This window comes from Homo sapiens, chromosome 5 (assembly GCF_000001405.40).
Source record: "Homo sapiens chromosome 5, GRCh38.p14 Primary Assembly".
Classification (NCBI taxonomy): domain Eukaryota; kingdom Metazoa; phylum Chordata; class Mammalia; order Primates; family Hominidae; genus Homo; species Homo sapiens.
The window spans coordinates 96,909,328-96,932,248 of NC_000005.10; the positions used below are offsets into that span (position 1 = coordinate 96,909,328).

Consider the following 22,921-nt stretch of genomic DNA (forward strand, 5'->3'; position numbering starts at 1 on the left):
AAAGGTGATTTTATTTTATATCCATTGATATTCCCCTTTCAGATAGGAAATTAAACCATGTTTAAATGCAAAAACTGTTTCCTAAGTATGGTGGGTAACAGCCAGAAAAAGATAAGAGAAATACGAAGATACACTGTTTGGGGAAAGATTGGGAAAGATGCAGAAAGTTTAGAGTTGAGCCCTTTAGATGGGCAAGAACTGTGTTAAGGACTAAATTTAGCCTCTCTGTTAACCATCTCATATTTTCTGCAGCGTTACCTTCTTCAGTATTTTAAGCCAGTGATTGACAGGCAAAGCTGGAGTGACAAGGGCTCAGTCTGGGACAGGATGCTCCGCTCGGCTCTCTTGAAGCTGGCCTGTGACCTGAACCATGCTCCTTGCATCCAGAAAGCTGCTGAACTCTTCTCCCAGTGGATGGAATCCAGTGGAAAATTAAAGTAGATGTAGACTTCTGTCCTACCCTTTGTTCTTTTCTCTTTGATGTAAAAGTCTTTGATCAAGCAAGACATTAGGTCTAAAACCTTTTAGTGAGGATAGAAAAAAAAACATGCTGGGCATTACAAACCCTGTTTCATGCTCTCACATTGTAAGTGCTATGTATGGAGACTAGTACAATCTCTACCATGAAATGTAATGGTGTCCATTATTCCGGTGCTGGCTGGATGCAGTGGCCCACGCCTATAATCCCAGCACTTTGGGAGGCCAAGGAGGGTGAATCACTGAGGTCAGGAGTTCAAGACCAGCCTGGCCAACATAGTGAAGCCCTGTCTGCACTAAAAATGCAAAAATTAGCCAAGTGTGGTGGTGCACGCTTGTAATCCCAGCTACTTCGGAGGCTGAGGTGGGAGAATTGCTTGAACCTGGGAAGCAGAAGTTGCCGTGAGCCAAGATCACTTCACTGCACTGCAGTCTGGGCAACAGAGAAAGGCCCTGTCTCAAAAAAAAAAAAAAAACTTTTCCTGTGCCAAATTATTATAAGATGGTATCATAACTTCTCTCGCTATAACTAAATCTGTGAGCTTTTTGAAATCCTTTCTTGAATTCTTCTTTTTAAAAAAGTAATTCAAGTTTTCTTCTTTTTGGACTTTTTTTCCTTGTTGGGATTCAAGCCTGAAATCAGTTTTAGAAAAAAAAAAACTTAAAAAAAAACCTTTTAAATCTATTATTCTCTTCTTTTTGTTTCTGTTTCAATGGGTTGTATGAGTGAAGCTAAAATGTAAACATCCTACTGCCCTATACAAAATAGAATACTATTATTTCATCTTTATGCTAGTTACAAGAAAGATAATCTTAACCTGCAGTAACCTACCTACAGTAGATATAAGTGTTCAACATGTTGAATATACCTATGAAAATATTCTAGGTAAACTTATTTATGCTCACAATCAAAAATATGTGATTAAATATTGTTGGTTTTTTCTAAACTCCAAGATTGCTAGTATGAATTTTAATGAAGAATTTCTTTACATAGATTAATTGATTACTTCATTCATTTGTGGATTTGAAATGTAACTAGTTGCACATTTCCTTTATGCCAGCCAGGTATTGCTGTAGGAGCTAAGGATAAAGAGGTGAACAAAACAACCATGTGGCCTACCTTCAAGAAGCTTACAATGTGTTTGTTACCAATTGTTATAAAGTTGTTCAGCAAAATACACTAAAATGAAAACAATATGTATTATAATTATTTGATCTTTATTATATTATTCAAATGTCACTTGGGGTATTTAAGTACATATAGTATAGAGGAAGTAGCCAAAGCATTAGAATCATAGGGTTAAATCCCATCTGCAAATGGCAAATTATGTCATCTTGTGCAAGTTACTTAACTTTTCTGAGATTTATTTCCGCTTAAAAAAATCAGGATAATAACTATCTCAGAGGGTAGCTTTTGACAGTTAAATAAGAGGTATGGAGACTAGTACAATCTCTACCATATGGTCACTTTGTGACAAATGCAAATTTCTGGCTCCCTCCTCAATGCTCTGTGTTGTGTTTTTTCTGAGACATCAATAACAGTTCTTATTGATCCGTTGACATTTGGGATTAAAAAGTCATATGCCCACTTAGAATAAAAACTGGTTAATGTCCTCAAGATAATAAAAATCAAAATAGTGGTGTCTTTTGTAGAAGGACAGAAAATCATGTCACTGCATCTTAACAGTTTTAAAAAATTATAAAATAACTAGACACTAATGAATTGTACCAAATTAAGACTCTCTAGGCCTAGAGAGTCAGATGACTCCCAGACAGGCCTCAGAAAATGCTCTCAACTAGGCCAAGTGCCGTAGCTCATGCCTGTAAGGCCAAGGGGTAAGAAGATCACTTGAGCCCAGGAATTTGAGACCAGCCTTGTCAACATAGTGAGAGCCCATCTCTACAAAAAAATTTAAAAATTAGCCGGGCATGGTGCTATGTGCCTATAATCACAGCTGCTCAGGAGGCTGAGGCAAGAGGATTGTGCAGGAGGCTGAGGCTACAGTGAGCCATGATCACGCCACTGCACTCCAACCTGAACAACAGAGTAAGACCCTGTCTCAAAAAAAAAAAAAAAGAAAGAAAGAAAGAAAAGAAAAAAATGGCCGGGCGCGGTGGCTCACGCCTGTAATCCCAGCACTTTGGGAGGCTGAGGCGGGCGGATCACGAGGTCAGGAAATCGAGACCATCCTGGCTAACACGGTGTAACCCCGTCTCTACTAAAAATACAAAAAAATTAGCCGGGCGCGGTGGCGGGCGCCTGTAGTCCCAGCTACTCGGGAGGCTGAGGCAGGAGAATGGTGTGAACCCCGGGGGGCGGAGCCTGCAGTGAGCCCAGATCGCGCCACTGCACTCCAGCTTGGGCGACAGTGAGACTCCACCTCAAAAAAAAAAAAAAAAGAAAAGAAAAGAAAAAAATGCCTTCAACTTGGTGATAAAAAAGCATCAAGTAATCATCTTTAAAAAAAAAATCTTATAGCACCAATAGTGGCCACTAAATGATAGAATTTATATAAACCAGTAGTTTTGTATTTCAGAAAGCTTTTATATTTGTTGATTACATCAACTTTCTATTTTCACCTCAGAGTAGGTTAAAATTTTATGCTTATTTTCTTGCTAACATTTTATCATCAGTAGGAGATAAAACACAAATAATTTGCAGAGTAAAAGCACATAAAATATTTTTATAAGAGTTCGGCAGAGAAAAAGATTTAATACATTGAGTACTGAAAGCAGTTCAGAGATTATTGTGTTATAGGACTTAAAATTGTCATAAGAAAAAAGTTTTTCTTTCATAAAACTTTTTCTTCATTTTTATGCTTGATATTACAGTATACCAACAGATGTTTTAAAGATTGTGTATTCTGTGGGTGCTCAGACAACAGCAGGATGGAATTACCTTTTAGAGCAATATGAACTGTCAATGTCAAGTGCTGAACAAAACAAAATTCTGTATGCTTTGTCAACGAGCAAGCATCAGGAAAAGTTACTGAAGTAAGTTCAATAATTTAACTAAATTGTTATAAGTAAACTGACACAAATTCAGTGAAGTCACTAAAACTTCAGCCACCAGTTTTAAAGGCATAAGATAATTGAATCAGAATGTGTATGGCTTTAACTTTACTTTCAGAAAAGAATATATTGACAAAATGCAAATAGTGAAAACAGGTATTCCCTAGTTATTAATCATATGATTGAGACTAGACAAGCGGTTATGTTTTATCTTCAGAAACTTGAAGAAAAATTATTGTTGTAAAAATACATTCTTGCATATAAGATGTGTAAATGATGCTAATCAAACTTATTTGAAATAATAAGTAAATGTTTTTGATAGGAACAAAATAAAAATTATTTCTAAAAAAGTAAAAGTTTAATTGAAACATTAAAAAATTGGTAATTATACTTTTATCATGCCTCTTTCTGTTCTATTCTTTTAATATATTGGTGGCTTGAGTTAATGTCCATGTACATAATACCTACTATTTAGAAACAAATTATTTTTCTTTCTTCAGGTTAATTGAACTAGGAATGGAAGGAAAGGTTATCAAGACACAGAACTTGGCAGCTCTCCTTCATGCGATTGCCAGACGTCCAAAGGGGCAGCAACTAGCATGGGATTTTGTAAGAGAAAATTGGACCCATCTTCTGAAAAAGTTGGTATTCATTTTCATCCAATGTTTGTTCTTCCATGCAGATGTCTCAGTTGCCTCAAACCAAGTGTAATCAAATGTTTCTCAAAGCATATAAATAATACCATTTGTATCCAAATAGTTCAGTGGAGTCAACTTTGAAACTCCCTAGCCCAAATTATCCTGTCCAGGAGTAAGGGAGAGACATGAGAATAAGGGAATGGGAAACAGCCTTCTCTCATTCAGTCCAGGCAAGAAACCACTGGCATCAAGTCCGAGTTGAATTAAATGCAGTCATCAGCCCCCTCCCACCATCCCTTCTTGGCTCTCTCCTCAGCCCAGAAGAATCCCAAGATGCCTTGTATAGTGCATCACACATATGTGGCCTCATTTGTTAATGCAGTTTTGTACTGGGGGAAAATCTCAGGAATTTTGGTAAGAGCTACTCCTCACCCCTAGAGCCCCTGTGGAGGTGGCACAGTGGAGACCTTGGTTCAGGTGAAAGAAACCTAGTCAGGAGTGTTTGGGGAGCCCTCCCTCCAAATTGTTTTGGTTCTGAGTCTTTTCTGGGGTTTCAACTTTGGGGAGAACTGGAGCTCATTTCAATATGTTCCTGGATCTAAAATATCCCTCAGAAATAACCAATAATGATTAGATTTTGTTGGAATGGAATGTATAAGACAGCATTGCTTTCTGTCTCTCTCTCTCTCTCTCTCACACACACACACACACACAATCACAAAACCCTATAAGGCATTCAGCCATTCCTCATCCAAATCTAAAATGTCATTTATGACTTATATGAAAATATCTTGAATCAGAGAGGTATGATTTGCTTTGTTTATGTCAGGGTCAGTTAGCATCCCTGATATCATTAATTCCTAGTTCCTTCTCTTTCATTTCATAGCCGTGGAAGGTTTAGAGTCCTCACACAGCTTTGCGTAAGCAAAAAGCACATTTCCACTCCTCTCCCAAATGCTCAAGGAGTTGACGTCCACATGAGACCAAATAGAAACTGCTTTAATATGTATGTTTGTGTATGTTTCCTTTAAAACTCTACTTGAGCCATTGATTTGTCTGTTTTCATGATTGTCATTTTCCTCCTGAAATGATCAGCCTTAATCTACAATGCTGTGGATTTCATTTTAAACAGGAAATGATGCCCCTGCCCAACCATGTGCAGAGCCTAGACTTGGAACCATATTTTTTTCTGAGCTGTAACTGTGCTCTGCTTTATCAACATGAATCACTTTGACCTGTAGTACAAGTTTTCCATATATAAAACATTGGGTTGAAGGATGCATTCTGTGGCCGTGAATGAGAGTTCAACCAAGTAACATTGCCCCACTAAACACAATGTTTAAACACAGTGGTATCCAAAATGGGATGAGGAAGTGTGCAAGAAGTGCAATACATTAGAGTGTCTATTATTTCTTATCTAATTTTAAATTTTATATTGTTATAAATTTATAAACATAAATGATATATAGTATAAAAAGTTAAATAAATACATTATTTATTTCATGCTTTTAATTTTTTTACCATACCTTAACATATGCATATAATTTTTTTTAATTAATTTATTTTTTTTGAGACGGAGTTTCATTCTCGTTGCCCAGGCTGGAGTGCAATGGCGCCATGTTGGCTCACTGCAACCTCCACCTCCCGGGTTCAAGTGACTCTCCTGCCTCAGCCTCCTGAGTAGCTGGGATTACAGGCATGCACCACCATGCCCAGCTAATTTTTTTGTATTTTAGTACAGATAGGGTTTCTCCATGCTGGTCAGGCAGGTCTCAAACTCCTGACCTCAGGTGATCCACCCACCTCGGCCTCCCAAAGTTCTGGGATTACAGGTGTGAGCCACCGCGCCCAGCCCATATAATTTATAAATAAAAATATGTATATTGGGAAGTTCTTGCTCAAAAAATCTTTACTGACTGGAGTATGTAGTAACAAAAAAAGTAGGGAACACTGCTTTAAACAGAAACATAAAATTAAACATAAACATTGCTGAATAACTAACCATATTTCCCAAAGAAGCTGTATCTACATTTTCATTTTATAGTAAAATTTGATAAGTTTCACAGCTTTAGAATTGTACTGGATGAATGTTATTATGGTAATTCACCGTATCTATTGTAATACACAAGCTTATCACATAGTTATTAATATACATTAAAAATATAATACATGATATAATAAACATAAGGTCAGTATTTCTATGACTTTCTATGGTGTTTCTTTTTATTTTCAGATTTGACTTGGGCTCATATGACATAAGGATGATCATCTCTGGCACAACAGCTCACTTTTCTTCCAAGGATAAGTTGCAAGAGGTTTGTGACTTTCTGTTTTTAACAATTTCAAAATAAATGTTCAAATTGTGGAATTGAAAGTAAACTTAGATATAATCTGATTTGAAGTTCTCATTTTAGTTTTTAAAAAAGTTGTTTGTCCAATGCCATATAGCAAGTAAATGGAAGGGACAGGATTAAAACCTGACACTTGGCCAGGCACAGTGGCTCACACCTGTAATCCCACCACTTTGGGAGGCCAAGGCAGGTAGATCATGGGGTCAGGAGTTCGAGACCAGCCTGGCCAATATGGTGAAACCCTGTCTCTAATAAAAATACAAAAATTAGCAGAATGTGGTGGCACGCACCTGTAGTCCCAGCTACTTGGGAGGCTGAGGCAGAAGAATCACTTGGACCCAGGAGGCGGAGGTTGCAGTGAGCTGAGATCACACCACTGCACTCCAGCCTGGGTGACAGAGTGAGACTCCATCTCAAAAAAACAAAAAACAAAAACAAAAACAAAAAACAACAGCAAAAAAAAGCCCCTGACTCTTAAAATACTTAAAATACGTGTATTCATAGCATTCAAAATGAAAATAGACTTGAGAGGTGAGCCCTTTTGTATTATTTCTTTCATATTGTATTACGATGCAAGAGTGATTATATTAAAGTTTGGAAGCGTACTTAATGATCTTTTTAACAAAACTATTGTTGGTAATTCTAGTTATCTTTTTTTTTTTTTTTTTTTTTTTGAGGCGGAGTCTTGCTCTGTTGCCCAGGCTGGAGTGCAGTGGCTTGCGATCTCGGCTCACTGCAAGCTCCGCCTCCCAGGTTCACGCCATTCTCCTGCCTCAGCCTCCCGAGTAGCTGGGACTACAGGAGGCTGCCACCATGCCCACCTAATTTTTTTGTATTTTTTTTTAGTAGAGATGGGGTTTCACTGTGTTAGCCAGGGTGGTCTCGATCTCCTGACCTCGTGATCCACCCACTTTGGCCTCCCGAAGTGCTGGGATTACAGGCGTGAGCCACCAGCCTATCTTTTTTTTTTTTTTAAAGCATTATAGTCTTTGCACCTTCTTTTCACAATAAATCTTGAATTTATTTACCCTTTAGGCAAATTCAGAATTCCTGAACTTAAATCCCAGCTCACCATTTACTCTATGACTTGGGTAAATCATTTAACTTCTTTAGCCACATTGTGGTCACTTGTAAGATGAGGATTTATAATTTTTGTCTTACTTTACCTATTGTTTGAAAATAAAGTGAACAATTATGCAGAAAAGTAGAAAATAACCTTTTAGAGGTTGGCAGAGAAATGCCTATACCTGTGTGTATGTAATTTGCAAGCTCTTTTGAAAATTTTTGGAAGACGAAGTGGTTTTATTGTTTCTTTATTTTTGAAACTGCCTCGCTCTGTCAGCCAGGCTGGAGTGCAGTGGCACCATCTTGGCTCATTGTAACCTCCACCTGCTGGGTTCAAGCAATCCTCCCGCCTCAGCCTTCCAAGTAGCTGGGACTACAGGCATGCACCATCATGTCCGACTAATTTTTGTTGTTGTTGTTGTTATTTTTTGTAGAGTCAGGGGTTCTGGCATGTTGCCTAGGCTCGTATTGAACTCCTGAGCTCAATTGATCTGCCCACCTTGGCCTCCCGAAGTGCTGGGATTACAGGTGTGAACCACCACACTCGGCCAAGACAAAGTGTTAGTAATTTTTTTCTTCAATATTTTACAGGTGAAACTATTTTTTGAATCTCTTGAGGCTCAAGGATCACATCTGGATATTTTTCAAACTGTTCTGGAAACGATAACCAAAAATATAAAATGGCTGGAGAAGAATCTTCCGACTCTGAGGACTTGGCTAATGGTTAATACTTAAATGGTCAATAGAAAAAGTAGGCTGGGCGCGGTGGCTCACGCCTGTAATCCCAGCACTTTGGGAGGCTGAGAAGGGCGGATCACGAGGTCAGGAGATGGAGACCATCCTGGCTAACACGGTGAGACCCCGTCTCCGCTAAAAATACAAAAAATTAGCCGGGCATGGTGGCAGGTGCCTGTAGTCCCAGCTACTCGGCAGGCTGCAGCAGGAAAATGGCATAAACCCGGGAGGTGGAGCTTGCAGTGAGCCGAGATTGCACCACTGCATTCCAGCCTGGGTGACTGAGCGAGACTCTGTCTCAAAAAAAAAAAAAAAAAAAAAAAGAAAAAGAAAAAGAAAAGAAAAGAAAAGGTACATCAGACATGACTGCCTGCATGAAGTCAAACAGGGTAACACCAGTGAAGCTCAAGTCAAGAGCTGTGGATATTTTGTCTAACCAACAAGAAGTCTCAAGAAATCAGGCAGTGCAGCTGCCTGCTCTCAGCTATCGTATCCAGCCAAAAGATGCATGATGATGGAGTGGTGGGGGAAGGCCAGTTCAGTATCCTATTTAAAAGTAAACTTCCTGAATAATGGATATATGTGGAGATACAGACATAGATATATAGATACAGCTGTAATTATTTAGCCTCAAGTGACTTTCTCCATTGCTTCACGCTATGCCACTATTTTGCTTCTTTAATTTTTTTAACCTTGCTTAGTATTCTATAGTTTGCCCAACCAGTTTTACGTCCAAGGAAAATTAGCCAATGCATAAAATATACAAACTATGAAAGGCAAGGATCAGGAAACCAGAGACTTTGCCACCAAATCTCAGATTATTAGAAACTAGGTGTCAGGGTTTATCAAGAAGGCCAGGAAGGCCTTTTGGGTTAAGCCTTACATTCATGAAGAACCTCAAGGGTAGATTTTTGAGAGCATTCCAAATGAATGGTCTCTGGTCAAATGAATGAATGGTCAAATGAATAAATCTGCCCTCACAGAGATACAAAAGGAAAAGGAATATAATTCATACCATTTGGTTTAAGCCTTACATTCATGAAGTACCTCAAGGGTAGATTTTTGAGATCATTCCAAATGAAGTCGAATCTGCCCTCACAGAGACACAAGAAAGGAATATAATTCATACACTATTGCATTTTTAATAAATCTTTTGAAATTTGCAGAATTAGATTGTATTGTGTATTTTCGGTTAAATGATAATTGAATGTAAATATTTAGATGCAGCACCATATTTTATAACCCAGCTTTAGCATTTCTTCATATTTTAAGGAAACCCCCCACCTCCTTCTTTTAAGGGCGCTTCTTGCTCTCTGAAATGCCCTGCTAAATGCTTCTCTTAATTATTTGAATAAGGTAGTTTGGAATAAAGAAAGAAAAGATCACTCTACATACAGATAGTAAACTTAATTTGTGATCCTATATATGAGACAGTATAAAAATACAGATAAGTTTTAGAAAGACTCAAAACAATATGTAAATGACTGATGTTTGCATTATTAAGGAAGACTTGGGATGTTGGGTCAAGAGGGGAAAGTGTTAGTCAATCCACTTTGGAGCAATATCATGAAGGTCAATTATAATTCCATATACCTTTCTTTGATGCCACAGTCAGAGATAGAATACAGTTTGGGTGGCCATGGATGTGCCCCAATACAGTACACATTTTTTGGTTAAATTTGTTTTCAGATCATTTCATGGAATCTTTGAAGTATCTTTGACTCTAACTTTGACTTGGTGGTGGACCTTCCTTGGTTTTTATAACACCTAAGAGATATCCTTTAGAATTACATGTATTTTAGCATAAGGAAATTGAAAAAGTAAAACATACTGGTTTTTTTCAACAAGACCATATGTAAATTAAATAGTGAAATGTGTATGAGTTTCAGTAGAACTGTACCATCAACAATGTTTCCATAAATATGCAGAGTTCTTTCTTTTGTATTGTTATTTACAATATTGTTAAATTGAATGCATTTGCAATTTCTAGGATTCTAAAGAATTGAGTACAGAAAGTAGCAATTTTATTATTTGATGATAATATGAGAATTACTGTGCCAATACTGTTTTGATAAATAAATAGATTTTTAAAAATAAATGTATTGTACTTATTAGTGTAGTATTTCAAAAGCCTTGTGGTAGATGCCAGGCCACCAACACCAACTTCAGACTTGGTTGTGTTACTTTTACTTTCTTTTACCCTGAATGAATCAGATGTGAAAAAGTTATATGCAAGATCATGAATATATGATGAGGTGAACAGGTTTGACTTCTCTGGGCCTCCCCCATTCTTCACAAGGCCCATTGAGAATTATGTGGTTCCAGCAACTCACTCATAATGAGAAATCTTTCAGATTATGAAAGCCCAGAACCAATGGCTTTGTATGGGGAAGAGTGGACACTTTGACCCTCAAGAGTCTAACTAGCCAAGTGTGGCGGCTCATGCAGGTAATCCCAACACTTTGGGAAGCCAAGAAGGGGGATTACTCGAGCCCAGGAGTTCAAGATCAGCCTGGGCAACATGGCGAAACCGTTTCCACAAAAAAATACAAAAATTAGCCTAGCATGGTGGCACATGTATCCCAGGTACACGGGAGGCTGAGGTGAGAGGATCACTTGATCCTGGGAGGTGAAGGTTGCAGTGAGCCAAGATCATGCCACTGCACTCCAGCCTGGGTGACAGAGCTAGACCCTGTCATTTAAAAAAAAAAAAAAAGGAGTCTAACTGCCATGGTAAGGATTTTCTTGTCCTATATCAGTACATGCTACTGCTCTTCATTCCTTGTTATGACATTGAGCCCATTTGAGGTTCTAGATGAGCAGAACTGGCCAGAAACTACTGCAAGGAATCCTGATTTTCTGAGGAAGTTCCAGGGGTTTTTGGTCTTTTAAATTTTTTGTTTTGTGTTTTATCCCACCCCCAGCCATAGGGCAAGCCTCCAAATAGTCATAGGAACTAGTTTTCCACCTGAACACTAATGTCTACCAAACATAAGCCTGCTCAAAATGGCCACATTTTTACTCTGCTACTTTTCCTTCACTTCTATTCTTTATTGACCTTCTTTCATCCATGTAACCACGTATCACTATTTTTAAAATTTCAACATATAGTGGTTTACAACTTATACATTTACAAACTTTAAACCAATCATGCACTTGGTTGTCTGCTTCCTGGTATCTTAATCTCATCAAAGCCAGGTCTCCAAATCATAAGGAAGAAAGTCTGAAAAGGATCATGAAAGAAGTGGCTTTACTAGGTCGAAGCATATGTGTATTTCATATAATCTTCTATTTTAATAGTCTGTGCTGGGTAGTTTCCTTAAAAGGGTGTTAATTCACTTTCTTCTTATTCATACATTCTGTAGCTGTCAGTACCAGATGTTAAACTCTGATCTCTAGTAATATTTAAGTTACCACTTCCCCTGATATGTTTCTGGATCCTTTAGTTTTAGATGAGTCTTTTGCAAAGAGACTGTACCTGAATTTTGTTTTTTATTATGCTCCCTAACTTGGGCAGGCCCTGGGCTTTGTCATCTGTCCCCAGCACTCTCGAAGGCATAAAAACAGAAGCTTCAGATGCTCTCAAGGTGAAAGTTGGCCTCAGCCTTCGGCTTACCCCTTGGGATTCCTGCCTTCACTTAGTTTCTGATCCAAGAGTATTCCTTACTAACTTTCCAGGTCATCAATGCATTAAAATAATTTTATTCTACATTTTTAGTTATTTTTAGCAGGAAGGTCAGTTAAGGTATCTATTCTAGCATATTCCCAGAAACCATAATCATTTATTTTCTTATGTACAAATACCTAAGTCTGCATTATACTTAGAAAGCTGGCAGTATAAACAGATCATTTGTTTAGGATTTAAATCAGGAAAATGTTTAGTATTCATAGTGAGAAATCTTTAGAAAGTCTGAGAAATGCATACTTAACTAACAAACAAGGTAGAAAAACATTTTATTTCTTACTCGTTTCTACAATCTTTCCTTCCCAACCATAAATTCAAGATCTTTTACAAATGTATTCTTCTTTCTTCCAGATGTCCTAATCCTCTACTATGCTGACAGAGAAGGTCAGGAAACTGGTTTTCTATTCTCAGTACATGACTCAGTAATTCTCATCTTGTTATTTACACACATGATTTCCCACACTTCAAAATTCATGCCTTCCTCTGTTGAATTATGTCATATTTCTTTCTTTCAATACTATATTTCAGGCTCATTCCTCCGTAAGGAATTCCCATAGTAATAGCACCTGGTATGTCCCTTTAGTCATCCAAAGAATACCACAGTTAAAATTATAAACTTCATTTTGAGTTGGCCAGAATAAATTGTCTGTGAAAATACTGAAAACATACAAAGGACATTTTTTTCTCAGTTTTAAAACTGTATTCCGCTTTAAAAACTGTTTTCTAGGCCGGGCGCGGTGGCTCACGCCTGTAATCCCAGCACTTTGGGAGGCCGAGGCGGGCGGATCACAGGGTCAGGAGATCGAGACCATCCTGGCTAACACGGTGAAACCCCGTCGCTGCTAAAAATACAAAAAATTAGCCGGGCGCGGTGGCAGGCTCTTGTAGTCCCAGCTACTCGGGAGGCTGAGGCAGGAGAATGGCACGAACCCGGGAGGCGGAGCTTGCAGTGAGCCGAGATCAGGCCACTGCACTCCGGCCTGGGCGACAGAGAGAGACTCCGTCTCAAAAAAACAAAACAAAAACAAAAAAAACTGTTTTCTAGTCAATTAAGTTGCAAATTCTATCTCGTCTCTAATATATTGAGTTGGAGTTGGGAAAAGGATAGAAAGAACACTCTTTTAAAACTCAAAAATGGAAAAAGGCCAGGATGAGGCTTGGGGCACATAAGACTGCTGGCATATAATTTTATTTTCTTTCTATTCATATCTTCAGATGTAGAGCCAAAGACTAAAAGCAGGAGTCGTAGAAGGACAAACAGGGCTTTCTAGCTGGCTGGGGGCAAACAGGTAGAGAGACTTGAGCTAATAGGAATCAAAAGAAAGATCTGGTTTGAAACAATTGTGCACAATCTATGTGAACCAGACAGAGCTCGCAGTTGTCAGACCCTCTGTCCGGGTGAGTTAACTTCACTCACACTCAGAGACTAAATTAGAGTTACTCAAGCAACAATGAATAAGTTGTTAGTGAAAGAGGCTGGATAGCATTTAAAGATTTGTATTTATTTATTCTTGTTCTAAGTTGTGCGTTATCTGTAGATAAAAGTTATGCAACTACTAATCAAAGCGCATAACTTATATCTTACAGAGAAGCCATTATTAGGTAGGACGAGCATATTATTCTTCTAGTTTCAAACAACTGTGCCTCTGCGAGGCCTCACTATTTGGATGTTTTTTGTTTTTTGTTTTTTGTTTTTTGTTTTTTTTGAGACAAGGTCTTGCTCTGTTGACCAAGCTGGAGTGTCACGATCGTAGCTCACTGTAACTTTCAGTTTCTGGGTTCAGGTGATCCTCCTGCTTCAGCTTCCCACGTAGTTGTGACTGAAGATGTGCACCACAATGGCTGTCTAATTTTTATTTTTTAATTTTTGTAGAGATGGGGGTCTCACTATGTTTTCCACACTGGTCTCAAGCTCCCGTCCTGCCGCCTTGGGCTCACAAAGGGCTAGAATTACAGGTGTGAGCCACCACGCCAGGTCCTGGCTGTTTGGATTTTAAGACCAAGGGAAACATACTATTTGTTGACCCCTCGGTCTCACTGAGGACCTGGAAAGAAATAACAGCAACAGTGCTGGCCTTGCAAATCCAAACCTAAAACGTGCTGTCTAAAAAAAGAAACTTCAGGCGGGGCGTAGTGGCTGACGCCTGTAATCTCAGCACTTTGGGAGGCCGAGGCGGGCAGATCATGAGGTCAGGAGATCGAGACCATCCTGGCTAACACGGTGAAATCCCGTCTCTACTAAAAATACAAAAAATTAGCCGGGCGCAGTGGCGGGCGCCCGTAGTCCCAGCTATTTGGGAGGCTGAGGCAGGAGACTGGCGGGAACCCAGGAGGCAGAGCTTGCAGTGAGCCGAGATCAGGCCACTGCACTCCAGCCTGGGCGACACAGTGAGACTCTGTCTCAAAAAAAAAAAAAAAAGAAAAAGAAAGAAACTTCATACACGTCAAAATATCCAGTTGCCTTTTCTTTTATAATTTCACCATTATAGATTTATTCCTTTGGACTAATAAAAAGTTAAAATATTACATTGTAACTCACTAGTCATGCTTTAGTGTGACATCTTAAAAAATTAATATTTCTTTATAGCTAGCTAAGCAAAGGGCCCTGAGGAGAGAAAGAGGACCCTGAAGTTGGGAGACGGGCTTGGGGAGTGAGTTGTGGAAAGTGGCCAATAGCTTAGAAAGTACTGGTTGGGTAGGAGGAAATTAAGGGCAGTATCTGTCACTTACTCAAGGATGTTACACAGATGTCATTTGATAAATATTTGTCGGCTGTAAAGCAGCACCTGGAAGTGAGGAAGAAATGGAAAATTTGCCTCAGGCTGATCCTGCTAGTACACGATGGTATATGTCTGTGTCATGTTTCATGTATTATGTATGTATCCTGTGTGCTTGTCCTGATTGGCCCAATAGATTGTATGTGCCATAAAAGTGAAGCGTTAGCTCCTGTTTTGTTTTGAGGTCTCTTTGAGGCCCTGCACACCAGGGGCCCTCCATAAATGGTGCTGACTGACTGACAGCCTGTGCTGGCAACCATCAGCCAAAGGGAGGAAAAAAGCACCTGAATCAGCTGAGAGTCAGCCAAGAATCATAGTCAAATGTAATTTTCAGCACAAATATTATAGGACCTTCTCAAGCTAAAAAACAAACAAAAAGCTCAAGGACACATTTTATGGGAGTGAACCTTGGGCAAGCTTTATTTTAGCATAGCTGTAAGAAACAAACAAAAAGGAAAACTAAATCAGAATATTCAAGAGTATAAACATCTCTCTAGAAAGAGCAAGTCAATAACAATTCGGGCTAACAGATTTTTTTTTTTTTTTGAAATGTAGTCTTGCTGTTGCCCAGGCTGGGAGCGATGCAATGGCGTGATCTCGGCTCACTGCAACCTCCACCTCCCGGGTTCAGGTGATTCTCCAGCCTCAGCCTCACGAGTAGCCGGGACTACAGGCACCTGCTACCATGCCAGGCTAATTTTTGTATTTTTAGTAGCGACGGGATTTCACCATGTTGGCCAAGCTGGTCTTGAACTCCTGACCTCAGGTGATCCACCCACCTCGGCCTCTCAAAGTGCTGGGATTACAGGCATGAGCCACTGTGCCTGGCCCACATCATTTCAAAAAATGTTTTTTCTATCTTCTGACTTTTATGGAAGAAAGGCTGTGATTGCTTTTTATGGCTATATAGGTAGGCCCATCATCCTAGTCACTTCCTGGCCTAGGTAGGCCCCATCCAACCTAGGGCTTAGATGCCAACTCAACACCGAAAACTTGGTTTGCCAGCACATCATTATTTTAAATGATCAGATTGGAATATGTTACCGTTATAGAAATTGGTTTGCTATTACAAGTCTAAACTTCTTTGCAAGTGATCTACATGGTATTTAAATTTTATAATTCACATACAATAGTAACAGCAAATACATCTTTAGTGCTTACTTTGTGCCAGTCTCTGTTCTAAGTATAATTATGTGAATTTGTCTCATCCTTACACTAACTCTGTGAGGGTACTTGTCCTCATTTTACAAAGGAGAAAGTGAAGCTCAGGGAACTTGCCCCAGGCACAGAGGTAGGAAGTGGCAGAGGCAGAATTTGAACCCTTAAGAGTCTACCTCCAGGGCCCAGGCTCTCACCTCAGTCCTGGGCTGCCCTTCATTTACCCTGTAGTAAATGTAGTGCAGTTTCTACTAAACACACTGCTCCTTATTTACCCTAGAATTCCTTCAGTGCAGGATTATCTGAGGACCACCTGTGTCACAATCACTTGATAAAGATGCAGATTTTAGGCAATATCTCAGACCAACTGAATTGAAATTTCGGGGAACAATGCCCAGAAATCTGTTTTGTTAACAAGCTCCTTCAAGAAATTTAACAGTCACCACAGTTTGGACTTCCAGAGTGAAGATTTCTTTCTAAGCATTTCTAGTAGGCTTAGGGTTCCATTTGGGAAAAAATGGAAATGATATATCTATACCTGTAGAATTTTCTATAGCATTTCTGTTTCTAAATAGGTTAGTGTTTAATTGAATGAAATCTGTACCTTTTTAAATAGTAGCAACCAGATGGGGGAAAACAAACTTGCTTGAGCAATGGTGAATGGAGATACTCACAGTATAATTTGCTTTTTTTTTTTTTTTTTTTTTGAGACGGAGTCTCGCTCTGTCGCCCAGGGCTGCAGTGGCGTGATCTCGGCTCACTGCAACCTCTGCCTCCCAGGTTCAAGTGATTCTCCTGCCTCAGCCTCCCAAGTAGCTGGGACTACAGGCGCGTGCCACCACGCCCGACTAATTTTTTGTATTTTTAGTAGAGATGGGGTTTCACCGTGTTAGCCAAAATGGTCTCAACCTCCTGACCTCATGATCTGTCCACCTGGGCCTCCCAAAGTGCTGGGATTACAGGCTTGAGCCACCATGCCCAGCCATTACTGTTTCATTTTAATCAAGCATTGTTATTATGGTTTCTAAAAAGTATAACCTCAAGTCTTTCATATATATCAGTTTATCAGTTTTATATCAGAGATATAATTTACATGGCATAAAATTCATCCATTTAAAGTTTATAATTCAATGGTTTTTAGTATAGTCACAGGGTTGAGTGCCTAGCAAAACGATCAATTTCAGAATGTTTTCATCACCCTAACAAAAAACCCTATACTTATTAGCAGACACTTCCCATTCTTGCCTCCCTTCAGTCTAAGGAAATCACTAATCTACTTTCTGTTTCTATAGATTTGCCTAGTCTGGACATTTCATATAAATGGAATGATACAATACATTTCAAATAAGTGGAATAATAACAATATATGGTCTTCTGTAACTGGTTTCTTTCACCTAACATAATTTTTAAAAGGTTCATCTATGTTTTAACATGTCAGTACTTTCTTTTTATTGTTGAATAATATTCTATTATACATATAAATGTTTCACATTCTATTTATCCATTCATCAGTTGATGGACGTTTGTGTTGTTTATACTTTTTGGCTATTGTGAATAATGCAGCTATGAACATTCATCTACCATTTTTGTTTGTTTGTTTGTTTGTTTCAAGACAGGGTCTTACTCTGTTGCTCAGGCTGGAGTGCACTGGTGCAGTCTCAGCTCGCTGCAGCCTCGATCTCCCAGGCTCAAGCGAACCTCCCGCCTCAGCCCCACAAGTAGCTGGGACTACAGACATGCATCACCATGCCTGGCTAATTTTTTTATTTTTCATAGAGACGGGGTTTCACCAGGTTGCCCAGGCTGGTCTTGAACTCCTGAACTCAAGTGATCCATCCACCTCAGCCTGCCAAAGTGCTGGGATTACAGGTGTGAGCCACCACACCCAGTCTATGTACAAGTTTTTGAATGTGCATAAGTTTTCTGGTCCTTTGGGTATATATCTAGGAATGGAATTGCTGGATCACATGGTAACTGTTGCTTAACCTTTTGGGGAGCTGCCAGATTGTTTTTGAAAGCAGCTACACCATTTTACATTCCCATCAGCAGTGTATGTGGCTTATAATTTCTCTACATTTTTGCCAGTATTTACTATTATCTGGTTTTTTTATTGTAGCTATCCTAGTAGATGTGAAGTGGTGGCTTATTTTGGATTTGATTTGCTTTTCCCTGATGACTAATGACACTGAACAGCTTTTCATGTCTCATTGGCCATTTGTATATCTTCTTTGGAGAAATAATATTCAGATCCTTTGCTACTTTTTTTTTTTGTTTGTTTTGAGACGGAGTCTCGCTCAGTCGCCCAGGCTGGAGTGCAGTGGCGCAATCTCGGCTCACTGCAAGCTCCGCCTCCCGGGTTCACGCCATTCTCCTGCCTCAGCCTCCCAAGTAGCTGGGACTACAGGCGCCCGCCACCGCGCCTGGCTAATTTTTTGTATTTTTAGTGGAGACGGGGTTTCACTGTGTTAGCCAGGATGGTCTCAATCTCCTCACCTCGTGATTTGCCCGTCTTGGCCTCCCAAAGTGCTGGAATTACAGTCCTTTGCCTACTTTTAATTGGATTATTTATCTTTTATCATTAAATTTAAAAATTCTTTATATATGCTAGATACAAGTCCCTTGTGAAGTCCCTTGGTTTGTAAGTATTTTCTCCTATTCTGTGAACTGTCTTTTCATTTCTTTCTTTCTTTCTTTCTTTGAGACAGAGTCTTGCTCTTTTGCCCAGGCTGGAGTGCAGTGGCATGATCTCTGCTCACTGCAAACTCTGCTTCCCAGGTTCAAGTGATTCTCATGCCTCAGCCTATTGAGTAGCTGGGATTACAGACACAGACCACCATACACAGCTAATTTCTTGTATTTTGTATTTTTAGCTAAGCTGGTCTCAAACTTCTGGCCTCAAGTGATCCGCCCACCTCAGCCTCTCAAAGTGCTGGGATTATAGACATGAACCACCACGCCTGGCTATCTTTTCATTTCTTGATACTATCCTTTGAAGCATACTTTGTTGATACTTATCTTCAACCTTATTTCCATTACAATGAAGTTGTTATGAGTTGAATAGTGTCCTCCAAAATTTATCTGTTAAATTTATAATCCCCCATATTTCAGAATGTGACCTTATTTGAAATAGGGTTGTTGCAGATGTATTAGTTAAGATAAGGTCATACTGGAGTAGGGTGGGCTTCCAATTCAATATGACTAGTGTCCTTATTAAAAGAGGAAGTTTGGACACAGGTATGCACACAGGAAGAATGTCATGTGAACACTGGAGTTACTTGCCACAAGCCTAGGGACTATTAGAACCTAGGAGATAGGCCTAGAACAGATCCTTCCCTAGTGCCTTTAGGGGGAGTATGGTCCTACCAACACCTTGATATTGGACTTCTATCTTCCAGAACTATGAGATAATGAATTTCTGTTGTTTAAGTCATTCAGAATGCACTAGGTTTTACAGTAGCCCTAGTGTTAGAATAGGTAGCCAGGCAGACATGAGCATGACAGCAGAGCTCCCCATCCATGTCTACTATTTTAGAGAGGCAATTGTTATACTGTCTCTCTAAAATAGTAACTGGTTGCAGCCAGCGTCAGGGAAAGGCAATCTCGCAATAGATAGAAAACAACAGAAGCTGGTGATCAGCAGCTTCTCAGTAAGATCTCATGAGATGGGTAAGAGGGCTCAAGCATGTGCACTAAGAGGCAAAATGGCATACAACAAGTATATGGCCTTCCTCTAGGATTGCTCAACTGGTAAGGCGAAAACACCTCAAGTGAACATGTGTACAACTTCAGTAAGGTGATCGCTCCCTAGTGCTGGCAGGTCACAGCACATGCAGACAGCCCACCACAAGGGATAAAGCAAGGGAGGAGACACAGAAATCCTGGCACCATGCCAATGTGTAAAACCCCCAAGTCAAGGGCCAAACAGTGCACTTGGATCTCTCAGGTACACTTGGCCCTCTTGCAAGTGTACTTTACTTCCTTTCATTCCTGCTCTATAACTTTTTGATAAACTTTCACTCCTGCTCTAAAAGTTGCCTCAGTCTCTCTGCCTTATGCCCCTCAGCAGAATTCTTTCCTCCAAGAAGGCAAAAATAGAGTTTCTGCAGACCCGACGGATTTGCCATTGCTAACACTAGTAAACTAATACACATGCCCAAAATAAGTTAGATCTACTTTTCTTTCTCCTTCCTTCCTTCTTTCCTTCCTTCCCTCCCTCCCTCTTTTCTTTTCCTTCCTTCCTTCCTTTTTTTTCTTCCTTCCTTCCTTTCTTTCTTCTTGAGACGGGGCTTCACTCTGTCACCCAGGCTGGAGTGTAGTGCACCCCGGCGGGAGTGTAGTGGCATGATCTTGGCTCACTGCAACCTCTGCCTCCTCAGTTAAATGATTCTCTTGCCTCACCCTCCTAAGTAGCTGGGACTACAGGCATGCTTGGCATATGTTCTCAGGATCTCCTGGTCCTCTGTAATGGGTGATGGCCATTCATATTTAGCTCAGAATAAATCTCTTCAAATATTTTACAGAGTTTGACTCTTTTCATTTACAATAATATACCACTTCTTGGTTTGTAATCCTAATTATATTAATCAATTATATAAAAAATTACATTGTATTTAATGGCTCCATCTTTACTTTCCTATATAAGTGCCTTAGGGCACTTATTTATTAAAATATATCAGTGTTTATAACCTTTAGTGGACATTTAGGTTGCCTGCCTAACATTTTGGTTGCTTAACTCCTGTAAACTAAAAATAAAATTCTAAGCCTCCCAAGTGACTGAACAGACCATGTCTTGGCCAAGGGGACCCCAGGGTAACCTTGAAAACTAAATTCTCATTCATGACAGGATGCCAGGGTCAAACAAGCCTTATTATACCCCTTCCTCAATATTCAGGATTAGCCTTTCTTCCCTAAGGGCTAAACGGAAACCAGCCCTTTTGAAAGATTCCACCCCTAATATCAACCAACCACCTGATATTGCCTCTAGTTTTTTGCCTGATAAGAGATCACCACATGGAGTGGTTCTGGCCCATCTCCAGAGAATGCACAGTAAGAGTTTTCATGTCCTCTGCTTCACCTTTTGATGTCAGAGGACTGAAAACTCCACCCTCGGATCATGTTAACACTGCCATTTTTTGTATATGGGACCCATGAAGGGGCATGAAGCTCCATTGCGCATGCACACATTTATCCTTTGATAAATATTCATGACTCCTCCTATAGCTTATTGAATACATATATTTGGCCACCCTGCTCAGCATAAATTCCTGTTCTCTTTGCCCCTCCCTCAGAGTGTCTGTTTCTGGCTTCTGGCTGTGGGGTCAGCCTGTCAGCATGGCCACCCTACAGGCTGCAACCCTTTATGAGAAATAACTTTCCAAATTTGTGAACCTCATCATTCCTCAGTTGACACTCCCCTTTTCCTTTCTGAATGGAAAATGGTTTTGTTCAAATACCCCTCTCCTCCCATACGAAACAAGGAAGGTGATCTTAAACTCAGCAGATTTAGGCTGTACTTTGTCTAAGAAACTAGTCATAGTGTTACTGACCACTGGTTCTTGGGCTGTCAATGCAATAGAGATTGATGTGAGGCCAAAACAGTTTCCCTAGACAAGCCTTCATTGGAGCTTATGCTTGGACATAAGGGAGGTAGCACAAAAGAGAGAATTCCCTGACTGACTCCCCAAAAAGAACTAGTCGTGGTTTTTTATTAGGCAAAGTGCGGGAATTGACATCAGGGGTAGGATATGCAGGCTGGACTGGGCAAAGCATATCATGTGTAGGCTATGCAGGTCAGCATTACCTGGTTAGTATGGCTATCTTGAGTAATGGGCAGCCAGAGGCAACAAGGCTGTAAATCAATTGTTCAGCATTCCTTCCCTACCTAGGACACTCCACAACCTTGGTCATCTCCTAAGGCCAGTTCTGGGAAATCTTTTTTTTTTTTTTTCCCAGACAGGATCTCACTCTGTTGCCCAGGCTGGAGTGCAGTGGTGTGATCTTGGCTTGCTGCAGCCTCCACCTTCCAGGCTCAAGCAATCCTCCCACCTCAGCCTCCTGAGTAGCTGGGACCAAAGGCACAGACCACCACGCTTAGCTAATTTTTCAATTTTTTGTAGAAATGAGGTCTTGCTGTGGGGTACACGTTGGTCTTGAACTTCTGGGCCCAAGCAATCCTCCCACCTTGGCCTCCCAAAGTGCTGGAATTGCAGGTGTGAGCTATTGTGCCCAGCCTAGTTCCTGGAATTCTTTAAGTAAAAGGCATGGTTTAAACATTAAGGCATCAGTGAGGTAGTAGTGTAGGTTTTGTGCTCGGTGAGGGTGCATGAAAGAATGCTCTAGTAGGGGTGAGGTGAAGCTAAGCCCCATTTCTACTCTGTCTCAATTATAACCTCATTTTCATTTCCAGTGATTGGTCTACAAATGTACAAAATATAGTTTTGGTAAATGAGACCTAAGGAGAATTCTAATGGGGAATTTCTGAGAAGGGTTTCCCCTGCTCTCAAGAAAGAGACACGGAAGAGTAAGTTCCTTCTTCCTCCCCTGCTGCAGCCAACTTTTGACCATATGGTAGTCTGGGCTTTGGGGAATTGCTCATATAGAGGACTGAAGAGTGGAGAGAGAGAAGTTGGGCTCTTGATGAGGCTGGTGAGCTGTGATTGAAGATTATCTTATCAGTGGACTTGTTATATGAAATGATAAATGTCTGTATCATTTAAACTAGTTTTACTCAGAGTTTTGTCTTTTGTAGCCCAAGGAATCTGAACTAGTATATCACTGTTCTTTCCAAATAATAACCTTTCACTTTATTTGGCTGCGTTTTTTTGCTAATGCCTAAGCTCTACTTGAACTTTATTAGATAATTATTCTGCTTTCTTCTGTGCTCTAAACATTTCTTGATTTGATACAACTTCAAACATTACTAATTAATGCAGTGTATGTATGCTACAAATGGGTTACAAAGGCAATGAGATATTGACTCCTTCGGTCCTTAGGGTGGCCGGAAACCTCATGATGGTCAGCCTT

General features: G+C 39.9%; 2 protein-coding genes across 11 annotated transcripts in view, besides 2 other annotated features; one reads left to right on the forward strand and one right to left on the reverse strand.

Annotated features, from left to right (window-relative positions):
- Positions 1-10,389, forward strand: part of ERAP2 (endoplasmic reticulum aminopeptidase 2) — a 43,733-nt gene extending 33,344 nt beyond the window's left edge. For 4 of the 6 annotated variants that reach the window (NM_001437802.1, NM_001329229.2, NM_001130140.3 and 1 more), the window contains 5 exons: positions 253-437; positions 3,310-3,471; positions 3,990-4,130; positions 6,361-6,442; positions 8,135-10,389. In NM_001437802.1, coding sequence (NP_001424731.1) covers positions 253-437; positions 3,310-3,471; positions 3,990-4,130; positions 6,361-6,442; positions 8,135-8,278 — 714 coding nt within the window. In that variant the 3' untranslated portion in view covers positions 8,279-10,389. Of the gene's footprint in view, positions 1-252; positions 483-3,309; positions 3,472-3,989; positions 4,131-6,360; positions 6,443-8,134 lie in introns of all 6 variants that reach the window. The other 2 variants (NR_137637.2, NM_022350.5) reach the window with 2 other exon arrangements.
- The window catches only part of ERAP1 (endoplasmic reticulum aminopeptidase 1), a 175,042-nt gene that overhangs the window by 148,515 nt on the left and 3,606 nt on the right, over positions 1-22,921 (reverse strand). The gene's annotated exons all lie outside the window — the stretch shown is intronic.
- Positions 10,783-10,832: an enhancer, noted in NCBI's record as "active region_22823". NCBI's record gives its function as "activates an Ori minimal core promoter by ATAC-STARR-seq in GM12878 lymphoblastoid cells {active_cell/tissue: GM12878}" and the evidence as "EXISTENCE:reporter gene assay evidence [ECO:0000049][PMID:35858748]".
- Positions 22,266-22,425: an enhancer, noted in NCBI's record as "active region_22824". NCBI's record gives its function as "activates an Ori minimal core promoter by ATAC-STARR-seq in GM12878 lymphoblastoid cells {active_cell/tissue: GM12878}" and the evidence as "EXISTENCE:reporter gene assay evidence [ECO:0000049][PMID:35858748]".